At 63.6% G+C, this 25956-nt stretch overlaps 1 protein-coding gene across 1 annotated transcript; it reads right to left on the minus strand.

Annotated features, from left to right (window-relative positions):
• Window positions 523-24418, minus strand: MUC6 (mucin 6, oligomeric mucus/gel-forming (gene/pseudogene)). Its single transcript, NM_005961.3, has 33 exons — window positions 24304-24418; window positions 20713-20775; window positions 19513-19753; window positions 19307-19433; window positions 18869-18959; window positions 18647-18756; window positions 18273-18480; window positions 17913-18035; window positions 17195-17315; window positions 16928-17066; window positions 16746-16850; window positions 16589-16661; window positions 16346-16483; window positions 15926-16087; window positions 15665-15759; window positions 15385-15517; window positions 14968-15217; window positions 14841-14893; window positions 14641-14750; window positions 14027-14178; window positions 13700-13841; window positions 13505-13615; window positions 12882-13067; window positions 12544-12783; window positions 11647-11803; window positions 11209-11352; window positions 8915-8977; window positions 8384-8434; window positions 7790-7957; window positions 6975-7196; window positions 3462-6470; window positions 1599-1701; window positions 523-1333 (listed from the first exon to the last, which is right to left on the minus strand). Exons 1-33 carry the CDS (start codon window positions 24353-24355, stop codon window positions 1156-1158), a joined length of 7320 nt encoding a protein of 2439 aa, NP_005952.2. The 5' UTR covers window positions 24356-24418; the 3' UTR covers window positions 523-1155.

Consider the following 25956-nt stretch of genomic DNA (forward strand, 5'->3'; position numbering starts at 1 on the left):
GGGGTCGCGTGAGGCACAGACCCCAAGGTCCCCGACCTGTCCTTCAGCAGTGGGCTCACGGGCAGCGGGCATCAGAAAGTGACCTGCCCTTTGCTCCGCCGGTTTGATTCTGGGTGTGTGGTGGAGCTTTTTGGGACTCAGGTCATGCGGGAACCCCTCCAGCCTGGCCGCAGGGCTCCCCACTGTACAGTGTGTTGAGGTGCAGCCCAGGGCTCCTTCCTGGGGAACGGGAGGCCCCGTGGGGATCCTCCAGTTGATCCTACCACAGATGGTGCAGAAGGGGCTCTCGGGCAGATGGGGGTGGCCCCCGGAGGACGGTGGGCTTCGCCAGAGACGGAACAGTCCTAATGGAGGGAGGGCAGGGGCCCAAAGCCAGAGGCAGCTTCTCTTACCAGCCCAGACCCTGCTGGGGGCAGCCCTGCCCAACTGCAGATCCCAGGGGCCCACAGGGTGCAGATGTGGGTCGGGTGCCTACTAAGGGACTGGGGAGAGGCAAAAGCAGTGCTCAGGGACCAGCCTCTGTGCCTTGACAAGAACCGGTTTATTTGGAGTCTCTGACCGGGTGACGCCCTCTCCCAAGGACAGGCTGCTGGGGATGGGTGTGGTGCTGGTGGGGGCCTTCTGCCTGGCTGGGAGCGGGGGCGGCTGCCCTGCCCTCGCTGCCACCCTCTGCCCTCCCTGACTCTGGGGATCTCCTCTTCTCTGTGCTGGTGGCTGCCTGGGCCTCTTGCCCCCATCTCGGCACAGGTTTCCGTGCCCTCCTCGCCCCTGATGGGTCTGGTCGAGCGCCTGCTCTGTGGCTTCATCTGCAGGGTTCTGGGCCCAGCAGGGCTGGGGCCAAGTTCAGGGGCTGGGAGGTGTTGGACGGTGGGCAGGGGTGGTCGGGAGTGCCCTGTGTGCCTGGGAGGTCCGTGACCACTGTCCGCCTCAGTCCCTCTCTGCTGGCTCAGGGTCTGCAGGAGTGTGGTAGTCTGAGCCCCTGCTTGGCAGCCCCTCTCCAACCGGTGCCCCAGGGAGCCACGGCCCAGGGCACTTGGGGGCCAGGCCTGGTGACCAGGAAAGCAGCTGCTGGCACAAGCGGGAAGGGGGCTGGTGGGTGTTTTCCTGTCTGTCATCTGCAGTCCTTCAGCCCCAGGAGAGCAGGCAGCGACCCTGCTAGTCTCCACAGGCCACAGAGCTGCACACGCAGTGGCTGAACACCTGCAGGGTGAGTACGAGCCGCCGGCCAGGCGTGCTGGGATCGGGGCAGGGCAGCTCCAGCTGCTGCTCATAGGAGTGGAGGGGGCGGCAGCAGCTGCAGCGGGCATCCACCTGCTGGGTGATGATGTTGAAGCTGCCGAGAAGTCAAGACAGAGCAGGGTCATGACTGCTGCAGGGGCATAAGGCCCCTCCCTCCCCAGGGCAGCTGCTCCGCAGAGGCCTGGACCTCCCCGCTGAGCTCCCGGCTCACAGGGGCCAGGGCGGTGTTGGGCAGATGGAGCGCAGAGTGGCTCACCTGATGGGGCAGCAGGCGCCTGGGTGGGGTGCCCGAACCTCTCTGGGGTGGGGTTGTGAGCACCTTGGTGGACGTGGGGCAGGCCTCCCACCTGTGGACTCACCTGGCAGCGGAAATGCAGGCGCCCTCACAGCGGGTTACCGTCACGTTCGCCATGCACCCCTTGAACGTGATCTCCTCCTGCTGCTCCCGCACACTGCAGACCCCTGGTAGCCGAGTGGACGGTCAGCAGCGCCCAGGGTGGGCATGGAGCGAGGAGGGAGGGAAACCCTGGCTAGAGACCGGGGTCCCCACCTGTCTCTGGACTCTCCTGCCCAAGGTGTGGTCTCCCCTTGTGGAGCCCCACAGAGCTCAGACCTCAGCCATACACAAAGGCAAAGGCCAGCCGCATCCTAGTTTGTTTTTTCCCCTCAAAGTCGCTCTGCTGGAGTCCATAAGGTAGAGAATTTTCTCAGCGGACTCAGCAGATACTGAGCCCTGGGCCTGTGTGAGCCACCCTTGGGCCCCAGCTTCCCTGATGACCAACCCCAGGCCTCAACACTGACCTGTGGGCATGGGCCTCTCTGGTTGGCCAGACCCAGGACCTGCAGGGGGGCCGAGGACACCGTGCCAGTGACCCCAGAGCGGGACATATGGTGTTGCAGGAGCTCCGTGTGCCCCAGCTGGGGAGGAGGGAAGTGGAGCAGGCCCCGTGGTCTGGGCTCCTGGAAGGGGCGGGGTGGGGGCCCGCGGGGAAGGCCCAGAGACAGCCAGCCTCAGCGAGAGGCCTGGGTACGTGGCAGGCAGCACAGAGCAGGGTGGACCGATGCAGGCAGTGGCAGCGTTGGCATTAGAAACCGCCACTGGAGAGCGTGGGTTTAAAAGTGGAAAAGGAGTCCTGGGGTAAAGGCTGGACTCTGCTGCCCGTGTGCCCTCCCCTGGCTGCTCCCAGCTTCGTTTCCTGGCTGCAGAGAAGACAGGTCACCTGGAGCCTACCTGCCCGCTGCAGAGGGCTTTCTCCGGGAGGGTCAGGACTCTGGGTGCTTCCATAGGCCCTGCCGTCCCCAGCTGCCCTCCCCTCCCAGCTGGTTCCTGCTCCCTCGCCTCTGCTTCTTGGGGTCACCTCCCTGGTTACACCTTGCACCCAAGTCCCGGTCTCAGGGAGGGACCCGAACCAAGATTCCCTCAGCTTGCAGCAACGAGCTGCCACCCACGTGAGAGACCACGAAGGCAACTGTGGCGTTGTCGCCTGGTGGAGGTCGATGCATGCGAGGGACCCAGTCCCTGGGTGGTTGCTGTGAGAGGAACACCCAGGAGGGAAGGGAGGGACATCCCTGGAACGCGAGGTGAGGTGAGGTGGACATGGATAAGGCCTGAGGTGTGCTCTGTCCCCAGGCATCCCATGGCCTGGGGAGCAGTGGACTCGCTCACAGGCATGGGCCGGGAAGAGACCGTGGCCCAGAGAATTGGCATGAGCACGAAGGAGCAGGTGCCCTGGTTGCCAGGTCCAGCTCCACCTTCAACAGGTCCTTTGGGGCGAGGCAGGGGATGTGCCAGACTTTTGTGTCTCTCTCTGCACTTGGAGGAAGGGCTGTGCTGCTTGAACCCTGGGGTTGGGCCAGCCCTGACATCCTCTGAGCAACCAAAGGGGCAGCCAGGGAAGGCTTTTGGCAGGTAACACTCTGAGGGGAGGCCAGGAGTGCAGCAGTGACCGGGCATGAGTGAGCCAGTGCAGGGAAAGGTCAAGGTTAGCTGGGGAACAAGGCCCAACGGGGAGGCCAGGCACTTGCTTGGCCAGGACAGCGTTGGCATAGAGGGTGCCCAGGAGAGGAGAGTGGAAACGCCTGGCAGGTGTGTAGGGAAGGCAGGGAACAGGCGTGTGGTCCTGGGATCACAGGACCATGAGGGGTAAGCTGAGGCAGGGGCTGCCTGGGAGTCATGAGCACAGAGGTGAGGCCAGGAGAAGGGCCACAGAGATGCCACTTACCGGGTGAGGTGGGCGTAGGTGTCCCGAGAGAAGATACCGGGGCAGAAGCAGGGGTGCTTCCATGGGCAGTGAGGGAGCTGGTCAGGAACCGTGTGGTAGGCGACAAGGTGGGACCAGGGTGCCTGGTGGTAAGGTTGGTGACTGGAGAGGTGGGGATACCCGTCACCCCCGAGGTGAGTGACACAAAGCCTGATGTGGGAACTCGGGTGGTGAGAGAAGTGGACCGCGAGGTGGTGGACTGAGAGGAGAAGGCAGGGGCGGTGTGGGTGCTGGCCGTGGTCCTGGGCGTGGACGGAAATGCAATGGTGCTGGAGGCTAGGTGGCTGGATGGGGTGGGAGACACGGTAACAGTGGATATGGGGAGTAGAGCAGAGAGGGTGAAAGGAGAGGAGATAGTGTGGGGGAGAGTGGCCCTAATGGTAGTAGAGGCAGCTGGAGAAGAAGGAAAAAGAGGAGATGCAGACACTGATGCAGTCGTGGGATGAGTGGACAATGAGGAGTGTGACCCCGAGCTCAGGGTTGTGGAGTGCACGGGGGCGGACACGAAAGAGGAAGATGTGCCAACAGAAGGCGATGAAGTCTGGGGAGAGGAGTGGGAGGAGGGCACATAAGAAGAAACAGTAGAGGGGGCAGAAGGACTGGGAGAAAATGAGGAGGACAGCTGATTAGTTGTGGAAACAGGAGTGGTTGCAGAACTCAAGTGGGGGAGTTGTGTGGTGATAGGTGATGACGGTGGCCTTGAGCTAGAGTTCTGAGGCAGCCAAGACGAGGAGGATATGAAGGAAGAAGAGGCTGTAGCTGTGCTGAATGAGCTGTGGGTTTGGCTGGTCCCACTGGTGGTCACTGTCATTGGTGGGGCTGTGTGGGTGGACCCTGTGGCCTTGAGCGTTGTTGGTGGAGGAACGGTGCCTGTTGGCGTTGAGTGGATGGAGGCAGAAGTGGCCATCTGTGTGTGGGTAGTGATGATGACTGTGTGAGTACTTGGAGTCACCAAGGAGGTGGAGAAAGGTGGAACGTGAGTGGGAAGTGTGGTCTGAGGGTGTGATGGGGTTGGATAGGTAGTGGTGGTCTGGAAGGATGTTGCAGTCATAGGACCTGTGGAAGAGAAGGGACTGCTCCCTGTAGGTGGGGAGTGTGTGGTGAAGGGTGTGGGTAGCCTGCTGCTGCTGGCCGAGGTGGTGTGGGCCACAGGGGTTCTGGTGCCTGTACTGGTGTGTTTGGGGGTGATGTTGGTGGTAGAAGTTGGGGTGACTTCAGGATGGTGTGTTGAGGAAGTGTGGTAAGGTAGGGATGTAGAAGTTTTGGCCGTGCTAAATGAGCTTGGGGATTGGCTGGTCCCACTGGTGGTCGGTGTCATTGGTGGGGCTGTGTGGGTGGACCCTGTGGCCTTGATCGTGGTCGGTGGAGGAATGGTGCCTGTTGGCATTGAGTGGATGGAGGCAGAAGTGGCCATCTGTGTGTGGGTAGGGATGATGACCGTGTGAGTACTTGGAGTCACCAAGGAGGTGGAGAAAGATGGAACGTGAGTGGGAAGTGTGGTGTGAGGGTGTGATGGGGTTGGATAGGTAGTGGTGGTCTGGAAGGATGTTGCAGTGACAGGACCTGTGGAAGAGATGGGAGTGGTCCCTGTAGGTGGGGAGTGTGTGGTGAAGGGTGTGGGTAGCCTGCTGCTGGTGGCCGACGTGGTGTGGGCCACAGGGGTTCTGGTGCCTGTACTGGTGTGGTTGGGGGTGATGCTGGTGGTAGAAGTTGAGGTGACTTCAGGATGGTGTGTGGAGGAAGTGTGTGAATGTAGGGATGTAGAGGTTTTGGCCGTGCTAAATGAGCTTCGGGATTGGCTGGTCCCACTGGTGGTCACTGTCATTGGTGGGGTTCCTGTACTGGTGGGGTTGGGGGTGATGTTGGTGGTAGAAGTTGAGGTGGCTTCAGCATGGTGTGTGGAGGAAGTGTGTGAATGTAGGGATGTAGAGGTTTTGGCTGTGTTTAATGAGCTCAGGGCTTGGCTGGTCCCGCTGGTGGTCAGCGTCATTGTTGGCGCTGTGTGGGTGGACCCTGTGGCCTTGAGCGTTGTCGGTGGAGGAATCGTGCCTGTTGGCATTGAGTGGATGGAGGCAGAAGTGGCCATCTGTGCATGGGTAGGGGTGATGACTGTGTGAGTACTTGGAGTCACCAAAGAGGTGGAGAAAGGTGGAACGTGAGTGGGAAGTGTGGTCTGAGGGTGTGATGGGGTTGGATAGGTAGTGGTGGTCTTGAAGGATGTTGCCGTCATGGGACCTGTGGAAGAGAAGGGACTGCTCCCTGTAGGTGGGGAGTGTGTGGTGAAGGGTGGTGGTGGCCTGCTGCTGGTGGCTGAGTTGGTGTGGGCCACAGGGGTTCTGGTGCGTGTACTAGTGGGGTTGGGAGTAATCGTGGTAGTAGAAGTTGGGGTGACTTCAGGATGGTGTGTGGAGGAAGTGTGTGAATGTAGCGAGGTAGGTGTTTTGTTTGTGCTGAATGAGCTGTGGGCTTGGCTGGTCCCACTGGTGGTCGGCGTTATTGGTGGGGCTGTGTGGGTGGACCCTGTGGCCTTGAGCGTTGTTGGTGGAGGAATGGTACCTGTTGGCGCTGAGTGGTTGGAGGCAGATGTGGCCATCTGTGCGTGGGTAGGGGTGATGACTGTGTGAGTACTTGGAGTCACCAAGGAGGTGGAGAAAGGTGGAACGTGAGTGGGAAGTGTGGTCTCAGGGTGTGATGGGGTTGGATAGGTAGTGGTGGCATGGAAAGATGTTGCAGTGACAGGACCTGTGGAAGGGACGGGACTCCCCGCCGTAGGCGGGGAGTGTGTGGTGTGTGGGGTTTGGGGCGTTGTGTATTCAGTAGTCGTTCTTGTTTGAGTGGTCTCTGTGGCTGTGGGCCTCGTGGGTTGTCCTGGCTGTGGGGTGGTTGGGCCTGTGGTGCTTGCTGGGGTTGGACGTGGGCCTGTCGTCTGGGTGGCCGTTGTTCCTGGCAGTTCCTGATTGGTCGATTTTGCTGTGGGAATTGGTGAAGTTGTCATCGTTATTGTTTTTGTTTCTCTACCCTGACCTCCGCTGGCCCGTCCTTTTGTCTATGTGACCTTTTTCTTGCCTGTCTGTGCCTCTGTTCCTGTGACATGGCCCCTGCTGGGCACTCCAGCCTGCCCCATTGTCTCCATCTCACCTGGACTTGCTCCACATCCTGCCCTGAGCTGCGTGCTGACTCCTTCAGTGCAGCTGCCGCTCTGTGACTGGAACCCAGGCCCTACTTTATCCCCTTCTGGTTCCCTGTGGCCGTGGTGGTGGCCCCCACCCTCCTGCACCTCTGCTCCCCAGGCCTGCCTTTGTGAGTGCCAGGCGGCCTTCCTTGCCTCCAGCTCCAGCCTACACTTTTGGGCTGCCTTCTCGCTTGCCCTCTGGGAAATACGGGGTCTTCTTTATGGCTGAATCACTGAATGTGAGCTGGTGGTGGGACCGGGTGCCTTCGGCAGTGCTGGCATCCCATGGCGCCATGACTTACGCAGCGTGGGGCTTGTCCCTGATGTGGCTGGGGTTGGTAGTGTCATTGTGGTCCGTGTTGTGGACTGAGCTGTGGACGTCGTGGCTGGGCTGGCGGTCGACGCCGTGGCCCTGGTTGTGGCCTGGGTCACTGTGGGTTTTGTGGCTGTCGATCTCAGTGTGGCTGTGGGAGGCAGCCCTGATGTGGCTTGTGGGGTGACGGCCGTGGTTGGTCTAGGTGGTTCTGCAGAGGACAGCCGCCCGGAACATCCCCTTGCTGTGGGCCTGCATTTCGAAGGCTTGTGTCCCAGCCCCCTGCCCTGCTTCTGGGATCCCTGGCCTGCTGTCCGGGACTCAGCCTCCTTGGAGGGGCTCTTCCTCTTGCCTTTGTTAGGTCCTCCCACCGTACTCCTGGCTGTGGTGGCCAGAGCTGGGGCAGTGACCACATGCTTATGGGGCTGCGGCTGCTCCTGCGCCCACCCTTGCTTAGCTGAACGGACTGTCGTCCTGTCCCCTCCAGGGTCCCTGGGCAGCAGATGGGGCCCTGCTCGGTGTGGGGCAGGGGCAGGCTGCCTGGCAGAGGCCCTGCAGGTCCCACACGGTTTCTAGTGACAGCAGCCAGCAGCAAGGAATGCCCCATGCCATGACCAGCTTGTCTTTAAAAGTTTTTCCGAAAAATCCCCAGTTTGGCTCCCAAGCATAGGAAGTTCTACGCTGGGAATCTGCTTAGTGGCAGATGTGAGCCAGGAAGCAGGGCCATCCCTAAGCCCACCCCAGAGGTGTACCTAGGACCTCCTGCAGCTGCCCTCTCCATGGGCTCAGCTGGAGGCTCCTTACCTCCCGAGGAGGCTGTGGGCTTGGAGGATGTGAGCGTGGCTGGAAGGAGGGGTGTCTGGGTGGGGCTGGCAGGGGTGTGATTAGAGCTGGGTGAGGGTCCGGTGGAGCTGAGAAGCCCGATGGTGGTGGAGGTTCCCGTCATGGGCCAGACTTGCGTGGGCCGTGAGCCTGGGTGGGCGGACATGCCATCAGGGCTGCAGGGTACCGGCATATCCTTGGGGAGCACCCTCCCCTCTGCCTGCTTGGCCCTGAAGCCGGGCAGCCCTGCAGGGGCCAATGATGTGCAGTTGAGGGCTGGCCTGTGGCACTCTGAGTGCAGCCTGGCTCCTGGCTGGGCCTCCTGCATGGCGGGGGTCACCTGTTGAGGCCCCACTCTGTGCTCATCCGTGGGTCCAGCCAGGGCCATGGGGACCAGGCTGCTTCCTGGCTGTGGGCTGAGCTCCTCCCCAACTCTGATTGCCAGGTTAGACCTGAGAAGGGCACAGGTACTGCCTGCCCCCTCCCTGCTTCCCACCCGACAGATTTGTCCAGGGAACCGAGGGGAGCCCAGGAAAGGGCCTGCGTCACCTTGGCACCTAGTGTGCGTGCAATTACCTGTGGTGGGCAGCTGCGGCGTGGTGGGTGGCTGCGGCGTGGTGGGCGGCACTGCAAGAAGATGGGGTCAGCTCCCTGTGGTTCTCTAAGCCTCCCCACCCCGTGGGGCCTCTGGGAGCTCCGAGGGCCTGAGTCAGAGATGCTCACCAAGGCTGTGGTGGAGGGGACTGGAGGGGCTGGGAGCCCACCCTCCCCTCTCTCCCTTTCTCCTTCCCAGGATGATTCCCACTCTATACCCCAGGCACCCTGGCAGGCCTGGTGAGGGTAGGGGGAGCTGGGAGCTGGTGGAAGAGGGGATGGGAGGGCCCAGTGGGGTTCAGTGCTGTGTTTTTTTCTCTCTGCTGCCATGGGCTGGAGGCTGCCTGAGTCTCTGGAGACCCAAGGGGCCAGGGTCCTGGAGAGTGGAGTCCCAGAGCTCACGTAAGGGCTCACAGCCCCCGAGGGCTCTCTCCCTTGTTTGTGGGATGTGGACGTGCGTTCTGCCTGCATGCAGGCAGGGGCAGGGTTCTCAGGGCAGCCGACTGGACTTACTGCAGGGCACGCACACCCCCTCCTCGTGGTCGAAGTACTCATCCTGGGAGCAGTTGTAGCAGCCTAGGGTGGAGAACGGCCAGGGTCTGTGTGACTGGTGGCCAGCCAGGCCCACCTGCGTGTTTCCTGCCCTGGCGGCCTCCTTCCTCTCTGCTTTTTTTTTTTTTTTTTTTTGAGACAGAGTCTCGCTCTGTCGCCCAGGCTGGAGTGCAGTGGCACAATCTTCGCTCACTGCAACCTCTGCCTCCTGGATTCACATGATTCTCCTGCCCCAGCCTCCCAGGTAGCTGCGATTGCAGGCATGTGCCATGACGCCCGGCTAATTTTTGTATTTTTAGTAGTGATGGGGCTTCGCCACGTTGGCCAGGCTGGTCTCAAACTCTTGACCTGAGGTGATCTTCCTGCCTCGGCCTCCCAGAGTGCTGGGATTACAGTTTCACCCGCGCACCTTGCTCTAAGCCCCTCCTTTCCTGCCATGCCTTCCTCAGGCCTTGGTCTCTCATACCCTGCTTATCACCCGGGGCTGGGGCTTCGGTGCCATCTTCCAGTCCTCACCTCCCCCTGGACCTCAGACACTGGCCCCTCTTCTGTGCTCCCCGATGCAGGTGCCCTGCATTGCCCTCCTGAGCCCCAACACATCTGTCCTCTGTGTGTCCGGATGGCTCCAGACACCACCCTCCTCCACCACTTGGGCCAGGACCTGTTAATCCCAGGACCCTCTGCATTCAGACCTCTGCCTTGGGGCAGCCACAGGCCTCACAAAGACCCCTCCCTCCCGGCCACACCCCACCCCACAAGTCTGTGTACCCCACACCCCTCTGCAGCCCGGTGCCCCTCACTCGCTCCCTCTGCCCTCTGCAGCCCCGCGCCTCTCACTCGCTCCCTCTGCCCTCTGCAGCCCCGCGCCCCTCACTCGCTCTGCCCTCTGCAGCCCACGCCCCTCACTCGCTCCCTCTGCCCTCTACAGCCCCGCGCCCCTCACTCACTCCCTCTGCCCTCTGCAGCCCTGTGCCCCTCACTCGCTTGCTCTGCCCTCTGCAGCCCCGCGCCCCACTCGCTCCTTCTGCCCTCTACAGCCCCGCGCCCCTCACTCACTCCATCTGCCCTCTACAGCCCCGCACCCCTCCACCGCTCCCTCTGCCCTCTGCAGCCCGCGCCCCTCACTCGCTGGCTCTGCCCGCTGCCCTGGCTTTCTTAAGGGTTCTGGGCACAAGGCTGCTCCTGGCTGCTCCTCTGGACACTTTCCTGGCTCCCCTCCTCACCTTTCCCATCCTCGCCCTCACATCTGCCTCCCACCAAGGGCCCCAACCACCCTGTGTGGCACAGAAGCCTGTGGCTCTCCCACCCCAGCCTGCCTTTCTCCTCTCCATGGTGGGCGCCTCGGCCGACACTGGGTCTGCCTCCTTAAGCACCTCTCCCTGGCTGGGAGGGAAGCTCCAGGTTGCAGGACTGTTTGTTTTGTGTAAGGCCAGGTCCCCTGACCTGGAGCCGGCCTGGAGGACAGAGGTGCTCAGGACCCATCTGCTGAGTGACTGTGTGTGTGAAAGAATGAATGTGCAAATGAATGCATGAATGTGCGTGTGTGTATGAGCGAATGTGCATGAATGAATAAGCAAACATGAATGAATGAATGAATATGTGTGAATGAATGTGCATGGGTGAATGTGCGTGAGTGAATGTTGAATGAATGTGCGTGAATGTGCATGAGTGAATGTGCGTGAGTGAACAAATGTGCGTAAATGAATGCATGAGTGCGTGAATGTGCATGAATGTGGGTGAGTAAATGTGTGAATGAGCATGAATGAATGTGAATGTGTTGAGTGAATGTGCGTGAATGAATGTGAATGAGCGTGAATATGTTGAATGAGTGTGTGTGGGTGAATGAATGGATGAATGGAGTGAATGTGCATGAGTGTGCGTGAATGTGCGTGAGTGAATGTGCGTGAATGAATGTGCATGAATCTGCGGGAATGTGACTGCGTGAATGAGCATGAATGAATGTGTGTGTAGTGACTGCGTGAATGAATGTGTGAATGAATGTGCATGAGTGTGTGTGAGTGGATGAACAAATGTGCGTGAATGAATGAATATGCGTGAATGAATGCATGAATCTGCATGAATGAATGTGAATGTGCGTGAGTGTGTGTGAATGAATGTGTGCAAATTAATGAATGTGTGAATTAATGAGCATGAATGAATGTGTGAATGAATGAATGCGTGTGAATGAATGAATGTGCATGAATGAGTGAATGGGTCCCCCTGTGTATCTGCGTTGCCTCCCGGTCACCTGGCACCTTCGATGTTGCTGCCTGGGACGCTCTGTGGCTGGCTGGGGCAGAGGCAGGGCTGGTAGTGCCACGTGCAGTTGGCCTCCTGTGTGTACTGGTACTCGCCATGGCCGTCCTGCGTGTGCGTGTTGTAGAAGCCGCAGTAGATGGCTGGGAGGAAGGGAGCTGTCAGCTGGTGGGGTTCCTGGCCCTGGCCCTGGCCCTGACCCGGTGGTTCCCCTGGGCATGCATGGAACCTGAGTGTGGGCGGGGAAGGTCTGGGCCCTCTTGGTGAAGCCTCCCCTGGGCAGCTGGGGGCTGCGGGAGGGCCAGGGTGGCCCCGCAGGGCACAGCCCGGCGCCTGTCCAGGGAGAGGGGCCTGTGGGCAAGGGCAGCCCTGCGCCGGCCCTTAGTGGCGCTGGGTGGCAGGGGCTGGAGCAACCTGTGGGAGGGGTGGTCACTCACGGCAGAAGGCCGGGGTCCTCCAGTCCACGCACACACCCTTGTCCAGACAGGCTTGGGCGTAGGCAGCCACGGCATCGCACAGACACTCACAGTCCCCGCCACTGTCACACCCACATGCGTCGCGCACGCAGGCCTCGTAGTAGGGCAGGTGGTATACCTGCAGGGGTGTGTGCCAGTCAGTGTCTGGCTGCCGGGGGATGGCGGGGCATCAGGCTTTGCCACCTGCAGGGCCCTCAGTGTGGTCAGGCCGGAGTGTGGCGGTAAGGGCGCTGGGACTGGGTGAGCGGCACCACGTGGACCTCAGCCCTGACCGCTAGCCACGCTCCCGGAGCCGATGCTGCCACGGAGGCCTGACCCGAGCTCACGCCTTGAGACCCGCCATCGGGACCAAGATGCCGCTGCCGCTAACCACGGCCACTGCAGTCCCACCCAGGGTCTCTGCTCCCCCCACGTCACGCTCACATTCAGCGGGCCAGTGCCATGCTGTTCCCCCGCGGGGTGCCCCCATCCTCTCAGTTCTTACTGCGCCGCGATGGCCGGATCACGCCCTGGGCTGGGAAGTGCACGCCCTGCATCCTGGAGGTCTCCCTGACCACCAGCTCCTGAGCAGGGGGCCCACCAGGCGATGCTGCCCCAGGGGACTCGTGGCACTGTCTGGGGGTGCTATTGGCATCTGGTGGGTGGAGGCCGGGGGGCTGCTTAACAGCCACAGTGCACGAGTCGGCCCCACATCAGGGCCCTGCACTCAGGCAGAGGGTCTGAAACTCTCTGCACCCTGACCTGGCTGGTCTGGGATCCCACGGAGGGAGAACCGTGCCTGGCTTCCCCGCCCCTTCCCCCGCCCCCACCGGACATTTGTGGAGGGGCAGGCGCACAGCCCTCGTGCCCGGTGCCCACCTTGCTGTGGCAGGTGGCAAAGGTCTGGCTGTTGATGACGCTGCACTTGCGCTCGGCCCAGGAGCGCCGGAAGGCATTGAGACTGCAGGGGTCTGTCACGAAGCTCACGTCCCCGCACAGCGGGCTCTCCTTCCACGAGTTCACCAACTCCAGCTCGCTGGATGCCACGTACCTGCTGCGCGTCTCGAAGTCGTCCTTCATGTTCCCGTTGAAGTTGCCACACAAGCCGCAGAGGGGATCCTGCAGACGGTGGCATCAGGCCGGGCCCAGGGGCCGTGCCATCTGTCTCCACCCCTGCATCAGGGAGGGCCTGGGAGGAGGCAGAGGGCGTGCGGTACCTGGGAGGCACGGGCGATCCTGATGAGGATGGTCATGTGCCTGTTCCAGATGAGCGTCAGGTTGTACCTCCCGGGGATGCTGATGTCCACGACAAGGCTCAGCGCACCCGGCGTCACCCCGAGCTGCACGTGGGGCTCCTCCCCGGTGACCGTGTAGTTTCTGTCCGCCAGCACCACGGACAGGCCCTGTGGGGTGGGGTTGGCATAGGACTGCCTGTCTGTCTCCCCCGGCCCCTGGCACAGCCGTGCTGGACCGAGCTCTCAGAGACAGAGCTGCCCAGGTCTGTTAAGGCCATGCACAGGAGCGCCTGCTGAGAGCCAGCTTGGGGCAGAAGGGCCTGGCATGCCTGGAACAGGGCTGAGGGCTGAAGCTCGGGCTTCCTGGAGAGTCCCTCCCCTCTGCCCGGGAGACATTCTGCAGTCCCTGAAACCTTGTGGGGCACAAGCACCCGTGGTCCTGAGCGTCTGGCCAGGGAGGGGCAGCAGGCACCCCTCAAGGAGAGGCAGGCGGGGAGGGCTGCATCTCGGGGCAGGACCTGGAGGCTCCAGTGCGCGGGATCCAGCTGTGTGGCAGGGCCCCCTACCGCCCGTCCTGCCCTGCCAGAGTCTGCCCGGCTGCTCACCCCCAGGAAGATCTTGATGGCCCGTGAGCATGTGACCCCGGAGTTCCCACAGATGACGTTCTCTGTCAGGATCTTGAAGGTGGGCTGTGAGTCGTTGACACCACAGACGTCCTGCAGGGAGAGGGCGCTGAGGAGGAGCCCTGGAGGCCGTGCCTCTGGGTCCCCGGCCCCTGCGGCCTGGCACCCGATGGTTACCGTGGCCAGGATGTACTCGCAGTTGCCGTCGAATACGAAGCGCTGGCCGTCGAAGGTGATGACGTGGCCCTCCCCGTAGAGGGTGCAGGTGGATGGGCAGTGGGTGCCCTGCTGACAGGCCCACCTCCCCCTTGAGCAGGAGCTGTGGAGACAGCAGGTGTGGGTGGTGGGCCTGCGGCCCTCCTGCCATACTGGGTGTGGTCCCTGGAGAGGCCAGACTGCACCTCTGGACGCCCCCGCCTCTGGGACAGCCCCACCCCGGGCAGCCTCCGCCTGCCCCAGATGGCCCCAGGAGCCCAGGGCGTCTGAAGCGAGGCTTTGTCTCACCAGGTCCTGCAGTCAGTGTGGAGCTCAGCTCCTCCAGGGTAGGAGACCCCCGAGAACTCACATGGGCACTCCTCGGGGGGCACACACTGCCCGTCGGCATTCTCGTAGAGGCCCTCGGCGCAGACACAGCCAGGCTCACACTTGGTGGGCACCTGGAGGGAGGCAGGTCAGCAGCTCCTGGGAGGGTGGCCTCAGCCAGCTGCTGCCCAGCCCTGGGCCCCTCTGAGACTGCCCGGCGTGTCTCCCAGGTCCTCTCCCTGAATACAGCCCTGCTCTGTGGCCTTTGTGGGCAGCTGGGCTTACTGCCTTAGCAAAGCTTCCCCCACCTCGTGGAAGGTCCTGGGACCCAGTGCACACGGCTGGGCTGCTGTACCCACTCCCACACATGGGCAGCCCACCCTCCCCGAGCTGGTGCCCACTGTCCTTAGGGAGCCCTGCAGACGAGCCCCCGGGGCCTCCAGCTGCCTGGCCACAGGGCCGCTTCCACCTCGTGGCCAGCCCCAGGCACCCGCTGCAGGGCAGAATGCGGCCAGGTCTCCCGGAGTTCTGTGGAAACCCCCTCATGGTTCAGCTGGGGCCCGGGCATTGTCCCTGCTCCTCGCGCGCCCCCTTACGCAGGCAACACCGGTGGCCAGCATCTGGCATGTGGGGGCACAGGCTGCCCCAAACTTGTTCTCGGAGGACTGGCTGCAGGACTTGAAGGTCTTAGGGGCCTGGCAGGAGGCTGCAGGAAAGAGGGGTGCGCGGTCAGGACACTCAGAGGAAGCCGGGGCCCCTCACAGTCCCAGCCTGCGGCCAGCGCTGCTGTACGTACCCAGGAACATCTGTGGCCGCTGCGGGCAACTCAGCCGCCCGTTGATGCAGTGGCTGCAAGAGAGAGGCTGCGTGAGACCCCGGGACCTGGCAGGGACCCCCCGCCTGGCCCCTGCCCGGTCCCTCACCAGGTGATGCCGTTGATGACAGTGGACTGCTCGGCCAGGATGAACTTGTAACCCTCCAGTATGCACGGGCACTGGGCCTTGCGCACACACTCGCCCTTTTGGTTCAGGTAGGTGCCATCGGGGCAGTTGCAACCGTCCACGGGCACGGCGCTGTGGTGGCACTCGGTGGCACGGTCCGACAGCGACAGGCAGGTGCGCTCACAGGCTTGGCTGTTGTAGCTGAAGGTGGTGTTACCCGTGCAGGGGATGGCTGTGGGGGACCCGGGCATCAGACTCTCCGGGAGGGGGCGGCCGGGAGGGCAATCTCGGGTTCCCCTGCCTGCCGGGCACTGCAGAGCCTCAGAGCTTGGGGTCCCAGGACACCCCCTCGTGAGCCCAGCCTGCCGTGACCCCGCTTAAGCCCCGTCGGGCACTCACTGCAGTTGTCCACACTGCTTCTCCAGCCCCAGAGCAGGACGCCCCGCAAGGAGCAGGCGTGTACGTAGTCGCCCAGGGCGGCACAGATGTGGGGAAAGGTCTCCTCGTAGTTGCAGGCCTGGTACACGCACCTCTGCGGGCAGAGAGCCAGCATGGGCTGGTGGCAGGCACCCTGCCCTGGGGACATGGGGGTCCCAAACCTATGCCCTTGGGTGCCTGAGACCTTGTCAGCCACCACAGCCTCCCCTGCAGCCCTCCCAAGACGCCCTCGGGCCCTCACCTTGTAGAAGGGTGCAGGGTTCACTGTGGCGTGGCACCTCTCGAACACCGTGCCTGTCCTCAGCAGCATGGAGCAGTGGGTCTCTGCACACACCTCTGGGGATGACAGGCCCGGGCGTGAGTCCCGGCCCCTCCCATTCCAGCTACGGCTCCTCCCAGGGACCCCCCACCCTGGCAGCTGGGCCTGTGGTCCAGTCCAGGGGTCTGTCAGAACTGTGGGCGCTGGGGGGGCAGCCAGGGGAGTGGGGGGCCGGACACTCACTGTTGAGCTGGCTCATGGAGCAGGGGTCAGTCTCACGCTCCAGAGCGGCCGGACAGTTCCCCGCCCGCCAGGAGTCCACAAACAGCGAGGCGGTGCCCTCGGCGATACCCATGCTAGTGGTGAAGTCATCCGTTGTGTCCCCGTTGAAGTTGCCGCAGAGCCCTGAGCCGGCGGGGCGTGAGCTCGACTTGAACCCATCCCTCCTGCACCCATTCCTGCCCACACGCCCTGGAGCTCCCGTCCTTCCTCTAACAGCACCCTGGGTGAGAGGCTGCGTGGGCCACACGTGCCTGTTACCCCTGGGGGCTCCCCGGACACAGAGGGTTGTGTGAACCTCTCTTGGACCTTTCTCCTCCCCTGGTCATGGCCAGACCCTGTAGGGATGAGGCAACAGGGCCACCTGGAGAGGCAGGGACTCACCTCTGGTCTGACCTCTGAACTGGGGCCCAACAGTGACATAGGCCTGGAAGATGGGGCGCAGCTGGACCACGAGCTCCAGCCCGAAGCTGGTGGCCATCTGGAGGTGGGTGGACGTCTGCCTGAAGACCGTGATGTTGCCTGCAGGACGCAGTGCTCAGTGGGCCGTCTGGGCTCCCTCCCCACCCACTGCAGCCCGCCCCGAAGGCACAACTCTGGGGGGCCACAGACTGGGCCAGGACGTACGAGTCTTGTATGGCAGCCACTTGGCTTCTCCGTTGTTGGTGACCACCTCGTCCTGAGAGATCACAATTTTGTCCTGGAGAGAGGGTGGCCTGAGTCAGGGTGCAGGCACCAGGGAGCGGAGCCCTGCTGGCAGGGATGGGCGCAGGAAAGGCCTTACCTGCCTGGAGAGGTAGACCACAGCCACCAGGGAGGTCTCGGAGTGTGAGACGCCGGACTTGTCGTACACAGCCATGAGGGCACCGTCCTCGGGAAGCTGGGGGCTCTGCGAGGGGGCGGGGCTCAGACACGGGTGGGGTCACCGGGAGCGCCCCTCCCCACGGGCCACAGGGCTCGTCCTACCTGGAGGAGGATGTAGGTGCAGGTGCCGTGGAAGCGGTAGGGCCTGGCGTCAAATGTGGTAACAAAGGAGCCACCTTCCAGGGAGCAGTGTCCGGGGCACGGCCGCTCCGTGCACACCCAGCGGCCCAGGGTGCACCGGCTGTGGGTGGGCGTGGGGGTAGCGGCATGGTGGGCAGGGCCGCTGGAGCCAGACAGCACACCCCTGCCTGCCCTAGGCCAGTGGAACCCCTGCCGGCCGGCCAGAGCCCCCTCCGGCGCCTCACTCACCAGGTTTGGCAGGCAGCTATTGTGACCTCCCCGGGGGCATACATGGCGCCGTGGAGCACACAGGGGCACTGGGTGACGGGCACGCAGGTGTGGTTATTGGAGAGGTCATTCAGGACCGTACCTGCAGGAGAGGGTCTTCTTGGGGCTTGGGTGGGACTGACTGCCTCCCACTCTCCCCTCCCTGGCTCCAGGGAGACGCCCCCTCCAGCCTGGCTCCAGGGAGACGCCCCCTCCAGCCTGGCTCCAGGGAGACGCCCCTCCAGCCTGGCTCCAGGGAGACGCCCCCTCTAGCCTGGGCCATGACCTCTCTCCAGCTGCACTTGCATTCGCAACTCTATGTCAGGCCCTGGGCGTGCACAGCCCCTCGTGCCAATGTGCCCGGCCCAGGTTCCTGGTGAGTGGTGGCCTCCAGCAGGCAGGGACGTGTAACTGTCCCTTGGGCCCGGCTCAAACCCTGCCTTCCCTCGGCAGCTCCTAGACCGCAGTGAGCAGCCCTCACCGCCCGTGGGTTTGCAGGGGTGGCCGTGGCTGGGGGACCTGCAGGCTGTAAGCGTCCAGGCGGGAAAAGCCTGTCCCAGGGCAAGAGGCGCCAGAGCTGGGACTCAGGCAGCAGAATGTTGGGGTGACCTGGGTCGGGGTGGGTGGGGTCTGACGTCCCCTTGTCTCTGGGTTCTCTCTAGGGGTCCCGGGGAGAGAGAGTGCCTGCGACTGCCCTCACCTTCCGGGCAGAAGCACCCGAAGGTGCAGGAGCTGGAGCAGCTGTGCTGCGGGTTGGAGCAGGTCTTCACGCAGGCCGAGCCGCACTCCTGGTACACCTGGTTGGCCGGGCACTGACCCACGGCTGTGGGCACACGCGGCTCCGGTGAGAGGGTCCCACCCCCCCCACCCCTCCCTGCCCCACCCCAGCTTGATGGAGGACTTAGCCCAGCCCTTCCTCCATCTAGAAGCAGCAGCGAGGATCTCCTGTCTCTCAGACCAGGAGGGATGCAGGCGTCACGTCAGGCAGTCCAGGGGCTGGGAGAGCTGGGTCTGGAGCCCTCGGCCTTCCTGCCCCTCCCTCTCCCTTCCCTGGACTCACAGCACAGGCCGGGGCTCCGCCAGCGGCGGACCGGCTGGCCCACCATGCTGCACTGGCGGGAGTACTCCGACAGGGTGGCACAACTGCTGTTCTGTGGGCCTGGCTGGGGGGCTGCGGCCACGTCCGCCTGGCAGCTTAGCACGAAGGGCTCCTTGGACACGCTGCACTCAGGGGCCACCAGGGTCAGCAGCTGGGTGCAGATCCGGGCCTGGGGGGGCCACTCAGGGTCATGGGGGCAAAGGCCACACCCCATGCCACCACGACTGGGGAGGTCGGGCAGGGCGTCTGTGATGCGGCTGCTTGTGGGGGCCCTTGGTGGTCTCGGCGACCCTGTCAGACCTGGGGTCAGCCCCACCTGGAGCCCCCTTGCTTACGTGCTGGGCCTGCCGGACGTGGGTGCTGGGGATGTCCTGGAAGGTGCAGATCTCGCCGGGGTCGTCCAGCTTCTGGAGGGCAGCAAACTTGTGGGGTTCCAGGAACTTGCCTGGGGTGCAGAATGGGGGTCAGCACCGTGGGGGCTGGGCCTCAGAGGCCCCCCTGCCCTGCCCCCCACCTAGAGGCCCCCCCAGAGGCCCCCCAGCCCTGCCCCCACCTACCCTCCTCACTGACAAACTCGTTGGTCACCTTCCCGTCAAAGTTCCCGCAGAGCCCGCACATCTGACCCATGTACTTCCGCTCCACCAGAACCTGCGGGAGACGGCTCTGCTGGGGGCCCGGGGGCCAGGGGCCCCCTCATCTGCTGTGGAGGGCTCTCAGTTCCTGCTCCTGGACCCAGAGCCCCCACCATCCCCCCACCTGCTCATCTGCCTCTTCTTATGGGAGGCTAATTTTCCAGTGGAGAAGCCGAGTCACCCACAAAACCCAGTCCTGGCTCATGTTGCTGGTCAGGGGTCAGCACTGCTTGGCACGAAGGGCCTGGCTGCATGGCAGCCTGAGGGCTGGCTGGGACCCCCAAGGAGGGCAGCCCCTCCCAAGTCCCACCTGCCCCCCCGTGCTGCGGGTCTCCAGGCCCACCCTGGCCCTTCTCTCCTCACCATGAGGTGGCTGTCAGGACCCCACACGACTTCCAGCTCCAGCTCCAGCTGCTTGGCCACCAGCCGCACGCTCTGGCCGAAGGGTGTGATCTGGAGTCCATTGCTGGTATAGGGCAGGCTGATGACCCTGTGGGGCAAGGGAAGTCGGTGGTCGATCCTCAGTCCTCCGGCCCCCGAGCCCCCGGGCCCCGGCCCACCTGACCTACCCGATGTCCTTGACTGAGATGATGGCTTCGCTCACAGTGACGACGGAGGCCCCCAGCTCCACGATGATCCGCGAGATGCTCCCGTCTGGGCCTCGCCGCAGCTGGACACTGAAGGTGGGGAAGGCGTCCTTGCAGGTGGCCGCGAAGATGTAGTTGCACGTCCCCGAGAAGTCGTACACGTGGTGGTCGAAGGTGGAGAAGTGACCAGCCCCCCACGTGGAGCACTGGCCTTTGTCCGGGGCTACAGAGAGAGCAGTGCTCACACAGCCCTGTGTCCCCACCATCCTGGCCAGGCAGGGCTGGGGCAGGCAGAGAGGTCACTCGTCTCCCTGGGCCAGGGTTTTTGAGTTGGGGCCAGGCTGTGGAAACCCCAGACATCCGATGAACCTGAGTGCTATGGTATATGCCTGGCCAGGAGTCAGCACCGCTGTGGGCATGTGCACACACGTGTGTGTGGGTACACGTATGTGTGTTGTGTGTGTGCACGTGTGTGCACGTATGTGCGTGTCTCGGGTGTGTGCATACGTGTCAGGTGTGTCCATGTGTGCATTGTGGGTGTGTGTGTGTTGGAGGGCTGTGTAGGCGTGTGAGATATACACCTGCATGTGTGTTGGGTGTGTGTGATTGTGTTGCATGCACATGTGTGTTTGTGTGAGCTGGGCATGTGTGTCGAGTGCATGTGTGTGCATTCGGGGTGTGTATGTGTGTGTTGGGTGCGTGTCTCAGGTGTGTAGGGTGTGTACATAGGGTGCATGTGTGTGTAGGGTGTGTGTGTGTTGGGTGCGTGCACATGTGTAAGTCGTGCGTGTTGTAAGTGTGCATGTTTGCATGTCTGGGATGTGTGTGCATGGGTGTTGGGTGTGTGTGCATGTGTTTGTCAGGTGTGTTTGTGTGTAGGTTGTGTGTGTTGGGTGTGTGTGCATGTGTGTTGGGTTGTGTGTCTGTGTAGAGTGTTGGGTGTGTGTGTGACGTGTGCTCATGCATGTGTCATGTACATGTGTATGCGTGTGTCAGGTGTGTGTGCATGTGTATATTGGGTATGTGTGTGTGTTGGGTGTATGTGCATGTGTGTTCATGTTGGTGCATATATGTGTGTTGGATGTGTGTGTCTTGGGGGTGACCTGGGCTCCGGGCCCCTCTCTCCTGCACACCGGGCCTGGGTGGTCTGGGCGGCAGGATCAGTGGCCGCTGTGTTCTTACCTGTCTGTGGAGAGTCCTTCAGCCTCTGGAGGCCTGGGCTGGTGTAGGAGGTGTTAGCCAGACCTGTGTGGACGGGACCCGCAGTCGGTGTGGGGCTACCCCGTCGTCCCTGAGGGCGCCGCTCACCTCTGCTCAGGGCTGCTCCGCCCGTTTCCCTGCACACACTCGGCGTGCGAGAAGTGTCCATGGCCCGTGGGGCTCGAGGCCTCAACAGCAAGCCAAGCGCTTGGCCTCCCATGCTGTCCTTCACGAGCCCCAGCTTCCTTCCCTGCTCTCGTTCACTCCCTCGTTTGTCCACTCAGTCCCAGTTCAGCCGTCAGCCCCTCGGGGTTCGGCAGATGGCGGGCACCCTGTGTGCAGGGTACTCATCCCTGGGGCTTCTGGGTGGGGCTAGGAGGGGCTGGTGCGGGTGGCAGGGGCTTGGCGGCGGAGCCAACAAAGTGGGCTGTGCCCGCCTCCCCAGCTTGGCCGCCTGGTTTCCCTGAGGGGTCTGCGCCAAGGCCCCACAGCCGGTTCTCCCTGCTCTCGGTGGCTCCGGGGCTCTAAACATGGCCGCTTTCCTGCACGTCAGCCTTGAGACAGCCTTGATGTCAGGCCTGGCACTGAGGCCACTGTTGTCAGAGAAACATCCAGATAGCCCAGTCACGGTGACTCCAGGGCAGGGCAGCGGGGGACGTCCCACCCTGACTCCCAGAGGCTGGGGTGGGGCCAACACCCCCCACGTCCCACCCCCTGTACCCAGAGGGAGACTTTTCCCACCTCTGGGTAACTCCCCGGACCCTGCCTCCGAGACTATGACCCTTCCTGTGGCTCCCACGAGCCCCCGATGTCTGAGTGGTGGTGCGGCACCTGAGCAGGACCCGTGACCTCTCCAGGCCCTTCTTGGGGCCGGGACCCTCCTTGCCCCTGCCCATTGGTTAGCAGGGCACTCACAGCACCTCCTTCCAGATGTAGCTCAGAGATCCCATTCCTGCCACTCCTCACCTGTGCTCTCACCCCAGGCTCTGCCCACTTTCTGGGACTTACTTGATGCTGCCCCCATTACCGCTGGACACCTGTGTCTCCGGTGACGCAGGGGCAGGGGCCTGTCAGCTGGGAGATGGTGTTAACCGCGGTCCAGGGAGGAGCCAGGCTGCCTGCCCCTTGGCCGCCTGGGTGAGTCCTGTCTGGCACAGGCAGGAGGTTGGGTATTTGAGTGACTGGATTTAAGAAGAATGCCAACCTTGGCTATGTGGGACACATATTTGGCTGTGGTCCCCTTTGGCCTTGAGATCGTTTTCTGATGGGTTGCACCTGGCTTATCCCCAGTGTAAGCTGAGTTTACTCCAGACTGGTGTGGGGGTGGCTCATGCTGGGCCCTGAGCCTGGCGAGCACCTACCCCCTCACTCATCCCCCTCCTGGGGGTCCCAGTAGGTGTCATGGTCCTCAGCCCCCCGCCATTCCTTCCAGGGATGATCCACAGGGCTCAGAGCACCTGCTGCAGGAGTGCGCAGCACACCGAACCCTCAGCCATGGAACTCAGTGGTTCCTGGGATGGGGCCCTCGCTGGCCTCTGGTGGGGGAGGGGTGGGAGAGCTCTGAGCGGGAGGAGCAGTTGGCTGCCTGCCCCTGGGCCAGCACCTCTGGAGGCTGCAGAGCTGTGACCGGTCTCCCCTGGGCAATGCCCCCTGCAACTCAGTTTCTCCACCTTTCCGATGGGGGGTGGCACTTGGGGGCCGTCCCCGCTGTAGCACAGACACCTCGGGCCTGTGTTTCGGTGCCCTCAGCCCTGCCAGGCTGGCTTCACTGCCCCGGGTGGGTGCCTCATTGCTGCACCCCCTGCGCCCCCCGCCGCCCTCGCCCTGCCCCACCCGCAGGAGGTTCCCCGAGTCCACTGGCTCCAAGTCGGCTGCCTCCAGCTCTGAAGTCCAGCGGGAGACTCCTGCGTTCCTGCCCAGACTGGCTGTGCTTCCCCTCGGCTGATCCCTTGGCCAGGCGCATGGGCATCTGGGCGGGTTGGTCCGCCACCCCCGGCCTCTCAGCCCCTGGACGAGCACGAGGCGGCAGGTGCGCACTGTTCCTTCTGCACGCTTGGCGGCCGCCCACCCCTGCCTCCCGGCCCACCGCGGCCCAGGCCTGCAGCCCGTCTGTCCGACCCCACACTCTGCTGGCTGAGGCCCCTCCCATGTTGGCAGAGATGGCGCTCAGAGATTATTTGCTGGGGTGACGGGTGGACACCCCCACTTGGCCCTCCACCCTCTGCACTGCCCACAGCCCAGACCTCCAGCCTCTCTGGGCCTCACCACACCTCCCTCCCTGGCTCCAGGGTGGTGGCCCGAGGGACTAGGGGTCGCACTCTGCTGCAAGTTTAGCCCCACTTCCTGGCACTTGTCCCCAAGCTGTGCCAGGTGTGCAGGTAGGGGCTGGGGTCCCAAGCAGAGGGCACCGCTGGGAGGGCTCAGAGACCCCCACATCTCCCACGGTTGAAGGGTGGTGCCCGGCGTGGTAGGGAGCGGGCTCAGAGACCCCCATATCTCCTACAGTTGAAGGGTGGTGCCCGGCGTGGTGGGGAGCGAGCTCAGAGACCCCCACATCTCCCACGGTTGAAGGGTGGTGCCCGGCGTGGTGGGGAAGGGGCTTCAAAGGAGAGAAGGGGTGGGGTGGGCTTGGGTCGCCCTACAGTGGGACACCCCTGGGGGGGTCCCACTGTGCTCTGAGCCCGAGGCGCCCAGGTTGGCAGCAGCTCCGAGGGCGAGCTCTGTCACGCCAGCGTCCACCCCAGGGGGCTCCCGGCTGTGGAGGAGGGTCGGGCCAGCTTGGAGAGGAAGGAGGAGCACGGAACACAGAGGCCCTTGGGCTGGTGCCTTGGTCGGCAAGAGGGGTCTCCCCAGGTCTCAGGCTGCGGCCACAGAGGGACCCCTTGGGGCTGGCTCCTTCTGGGGGCCTGGGGAGGGACTGATGGTCACCTGCAGCAGCCGCAGGGCAGGCGGTTGGCAGAGGATCCAGGATGTCAGTCCCTCCTGGATCCTGCCCGAGCTGGGTAGGGGAGCGCGGGGGAGAGGGCAGGCTGCCTGCGGCGGTTCTGAGCCCAGGATGGCCGTACACCTTCCCCCCTCTTCCCCCCACGGCGGCCACACCAGGGGAGGCAGCGTCCCCCACTTCTGTAGACTAGGAAACGAGGCCCAGGGCCCAGCAGAGACTGTGCCTCTGTCCCCCACACTCCAGAGACCTCTCAGGACTCAGGACCCCACTCGGGGAGGGAGAGCGCCAGGGCTGGGCACCAGCACACCTGCCCACTGTTCCCGCGGGAGTGCCGGACCCCACTCCAGCTGAGCGTCCTCCCCCGCTGGCTGCTGTGCCAGCTCACAGGAGGGCGTCCCTGCCCAGGCCCCATGGGGTCCCTGACCCCAATTGGCAGAGCCCAGCACCGCGGCTGCTGGGGGGACCCGGGCCTGGCAGCGGGGGCTGGTCACGGAGCCGAGCTGGGGCCTCCCGTCCATCAGCGTCCATGTGGGCCAGCCGAGTTGTCGAGGCGAGAAGGCCCAGAGACCCCCGCACACAGGGCCCCTCTGAGGGCACCGCAGTGTCTGGCGCCCCTCGACCTCACTCACCAGCGCTGAGCAGGGCTCCGCAGCAGGACAGCAGCAGCCACCGCTGGACCATGGTGCACAGTGGAGAGGAGCTCGCGCTGGGCCCGGCAGGCCTGCTGCTGCCATCCATGCGGCTCCAACGGCCGGTCCTGGGTGCCTTATATAGGCTGGCGGGCCCTCCCCCGCCGCACCTGCCTGCGCCCCGCGGTCCAGCCCCTTAATCACCACTGCCGGCGGGCGCCGCGGTGGCCAAACAGGATCTGGGCCTGCTTTATCAGGACTCGGCTTTCTTTGGAAAATCCTGCAGGCAGCGGCCCCATTATCACCCATTCCCAGCGGGGGGCTGACGCACGCACGCCCCCAAAGGTCCTGCAAACACCCCCTGCATGGGGGCCATCCTGGCCCGGGCCCTCCCCGCTGCTGGGTCAACGTGGCACTGTCAGCCACACGCCTGGTGGCCGGGATGGACCTGTTGGGGGAGGTCGGGGGCCCTGGGGCACCTGCTCTGCCCCTTCCGGGGAGCCCAGTGCTGACCCAGCTTGGGGGGAACCCTGCTGCACCTGAATCCCAGGACCCCCTGAGGGGCACTGGGCCCACCCCTCACCCTGAATCCCAGCACCCCCTGAAGGGCCCTGGGCCCACCCCTGAGTTCCCTGCCCAACAGGAAAGATCACCCAGCGGGAGGGACCTTGCCAGGGGGTGTTGGGGAGCAGGGGCTCCGCCGTCTGGGACAGGCAGCGGCCTTGGGGCTTAGACAGGCTGCCCTGGAGGCCTGAGGAGCTACCGTGTCTCTGCAGCCCGCCAGGTCCCAGGCTTGCTCCTGAAGACCCCTCCACAGCTGTTTTCTTCCCCCTTCGAGCGCTGTTGGCAGCCATCTTGAGGACAGGAACTCGGGGGCTGCTCGTCTGCTGGGGCATCTCTGCGGGGCTGTGGGGTCGCCGGTATGCTCCTGACCCCTTCAGGCAGAGGGGCAGGGACTGGGATGACCAGGGGGCCTTGCCTGTGGAGGCACGTGCCACGTCTGAGGGGCCGGGGACAGGGCAAGGTCTGGTGACATCGGGGTGGTGCCGGTGGCTGGCGGGGGGGAGGGAGGTGGAGGTCTGAGTGGTCACCAGGATTGCCCCAGCTTCGTTTGGCAGCCCAGGGACCCCTCCCAAAGGGGATTTTGGTCCCCGACTCCGACAGGAGCCCTCGCTGGCCTCGGGGCTGCTCCCACCACACGTCAGCATCCCGGCCTGAGCCAGGAGGGACTCCGAGGCCGCCTGGTCTCCCTGGGCCGGGCTCCCCACATGGGGCTGCACCCCCATCCCACAGGTGAGCTGAGCCTGCTGGCTGGGACCCGGGCCTGCCACCTCTGTCCCACCTGTGCCCACACGCCCGGGAGCTGCCCCACCTGCCCCCGGAAGAGGCCCCAGGGCCACGCGTGCCATACACAGTAGGTGTCGCGTGTTTCACTTAAATCAGCTTCAGTTTTGTGGAACGTTGCTTGAAGTTACAATAAGTTGCTTTTGTAGGAAATTGCAGTACGTGTGCTGCCCCCCACCAGGAGCCCCACACCAGGCATTCTGGGTGTTCTACTCTCATCTGTTCTTCTTTTTAATTTTTCGGTTTTGTAGGGACGAGGTCTCACTTTGTTGTCCAGGCTGGCCTTGAACTCCCGGACTCAAGAGATCC

Source organism: Homo sapiens, chromosome 11, assembly GCF_000001405.40.
Source record: "Homo sapiens chromosome 11, GRCh38.p14 Primary Assembly".
In the NCBI taxonomy this organism is placed as follows: domain Eukaryota; kingdom Metazoa; phylum Chordata; class Mammalia; order Primates; family Hominidae; genus Homo; species Homo sapiens.